The sequence below is a fragment of the Homo sapiens genome, chromosome 20 (assembly GCF_000001405.40).
Source record: "Homo sapiens chromosome 20, GRCh38.p14 Primary Assembly".
NCBI lineage: Eukaryota > Metazoa > Chordata > Mammalia > Primates > Hominidae > Homo > Homo sapiens.
In genome coordinates this window covers 61,078,773-61,081,546 of record NC_000020.11, presented here as the reverse complement: position 1 = coordinate 61,081,546, position 2,774 = coordinate 61,078,773, and the positions used below count along the sequence as shown (strand labels likewise).

The 2,774-nt window shown below is 44.5% G+C and overlaps 1 long non-coding RNA gene across 1 annotated transcript; it reads right to left on the bottom strand.

Annotated features, from left to right (window-relative positions):
• Positions 1-1,367: 1,367 nt before the first annotated feature.
• Positions 1,368-2,483, bottom strand: LINC01718 (long intergenic non-protein coding RNA 1718). The gene is made up of 2 exons (NR_109919.1): positions 2,217-2,483; positions 1,368-1,567 (listed from the first exon to the last, which is right to left on the bottom strand). It is a non-coding gene; the product is annotated as a long intergenic non-protein coding RNA 1718 (long non-coding RNA).
• Positions 2,484-2,774: the final 291 nt, after the last annotated feature.

Genomic DNA, 2,774 nt, shown 5'->3' with positions numbered 1-2,774 from the left:
GCTGCCTCTACTGGGGTGGCTCGCTGTGCTGCAATCAGCTGCATGCTGGTTGGGGGCTGCTGGTCCAGGGTGGCTCTGGAGGCCAGTCCGTTCTCCTCTAGATATCTTTTAGATTATTTTTCTGTCAAGCAACCCTGAGTATGTTCTCTCGGTGGTGGCAGAGGTCAAAGAGAGTGAATATCTTTTCAGAACTTGGCTTGGGTCACATTTGCTAACATCCATTGGCCAAAGAAAGCCCCCTGGCTGAGCGAGCCAAGAGTCCAGTGGGACAGGAATACAAGGAGGCCATTAATCAGGTAATCAATGCAACCACTTGACCACTGTGGTCATGGGAGAGAGGAAGACAGTCTACAAATCCGATGTGTCATTTTTCCTTCACCTGATCTGAGGTGCTACCTAATTTTGTGACAGTGGAGGTAAGACATTGCAAAGCTGAATGTAAGATGTCTATGCTTACATTCAGCTTTGCAAAGTAATGTATTTTGCTGAATGGCCAGAAGACTATGATGAGGGTTTGGAGAGGTAGAAATAAGAATCTAATATTGAATCCAGTAGGTTGCAATGATTAAAAAACAAAATTATAGGATATGCCTTAGAAACTGTGAAAATAGCCTCATTTTTAAAGACCTTTCAGAATGTGTCTGTTGAATGCATATTTTCTTTTGCAGTTTTCTCAACAGTAAACATCGAAATAATTGAGTGTTTGCTGTTCAGAGATGCCTCTTTGTGTGAACTAATAAGTGCCCTTCGGTGCTGCATTTTGGGGGAGAACTTAAATAAAAATGGTCAAGCATGATTAATTCTGCCCACTGCCAAGATGTTAATTGCTTCATTTTCTTTCATTTCAGAGTCAGAACAATGGGTCTTAATGGGCAACCTATCTCTCTCTAAGAATGACCAATCAGAGAACAAGGCCAGGCCTTGAAAGTGATGGTGATCTGCCATTCAAAATAACAGAACCTTGAGGAAAGGTGAAAGACAGGTCCTTCTCAGAGCTGGTCTGGACCCCTGAGCCTCCTGGGTCCCCCTCCTTCCATGATCTTCCCTCTCAGGGAGTTAGTAACTCAAAAGTCGTTTGGGGGAACAATGTCTTTGCTTTTGCTCATAAATCAGTCCCACTGGTCACTTGAGGGAATTGTCGCATTTTGCTGTGACACATTGCTGTCTTTGAGAGAATAATTGCCAGATTTGGCCAACTTGGGAACAGCTTCCTTCATCTTCATTTCCTATCTGGGGATGCCCTAAAGAGTATTTACTTTCGTTTAAAAGAGAGCAATTTCTTCTCATGAAATCAACAGTTTTCTCCATGAGCCAAGCTTGTTTTATGATATTAAACATTTAAATAAAATTATAAATGTACCATAAAATGCTGATGGATGATTAATTTATTTTTATTTTGCATGTTTTAAGGCTGTGGGGATTACTGCTCTGAAGCAGATCCAAATATAGTTCTTGAATTCTATGTAGAGCTGAAAGAATCAGTCCCCAGCAACGGTTGAGTGGGCAGTAAGAGATGGCGGCCCACTCTCTGTGCTGTTGCTGTCCCAAGGAGAAGAGAGGAAAGAAGCTGGAGGTGGAAGGGAAGTTTAGGAGCAATAATGGGGATGGATGGATGAAAGGGAATTATTTCCCCTGTACCCTCTTTCCCTCAGCCAATGAGCCTTCCAGGATGGGCCTATCCTGTCCCTGCACAGCTGCCCCGTCCTTCAGGGTCACCCTGACTTTCCATCCAGAGCACAGAACTTGAGCTGGGAGGCCCGCGTCTGAGCCATCACTCTACTCCTTTTAGCTCTGTGAACTGGAGCATCACAGGAAACTCCATAAGCCTCAGTTTTGCCATCTGTGAAATGGGTGAACAATCGCCAACCAAACCACTGGGATACCCAGAAGACCCAGATAATACCCTGACAACCCCTAAGGTGTCTGTGGACTTGATGAGCACAGCACCAGCCCACACTAACTTCCCTGTGCTGCCTTCACTGGCCTTATGAATACACTGAGTATTTCAATCCGGAATAAAAACATAATAGTCACACACCATCTTTCCTTTATCATGGTGAAAATTGAGGATTTACTCAGTTAAGTAACTTGTCAAAGGCTAAAGGAGGAATCCAAACCCAGGTGAGCATCAGTCCTCTGATCTGTTCTTCCCAAGCTGTTAATAGATTGAGGAACCCAGAATTAGATCACGAACCCGGCACCTATGAAGCACTCACCTGTTCTTTCAAATACCACCCCTCAGCGGCAGGAGGGTCAGGAGGGGGTGGGCAGGACAATTGAACTAAACTAAGCTACATTGAAGAGCAGGCCATTTTGCTCTGAGTGTGTGTGTGATGCTGATGGGGCTACATCAGGTTGAGATTTCGCTATGATTTCCTCCGGCTCCCGGTTCTCAGCTTGGGGGCCAATCAGGCAGCTCTTGTGTGCCTCTTAACACACGAGGCTGTGGAGTGGCGTCCAAAGAGGCGCCTGGCGCGTAAGTAGTGGGTGTGAGATGCAAATCTGGGCTCTTAAGTCATAATCCTGTTTGTGACATCGCCTCCGGTTGCTACAGTGATGATTATGTTATCAGAGGATTACCGTTTTCTGTGAAGAATGGGTAGAAAGACCAAACCAGCCTCCAAGAAACCAAAGGCCTCGTTCATAAACAATCACTCTGAAAAATTAAAACAAAGCATAGGCAGGAACACATTAGCTGACAAATGTGTGACACTGTGGATTCTTTTATTCCAAATAAAATGCTTTTCAGGTTTTTAAGTTCAAAGCTTGTTTTA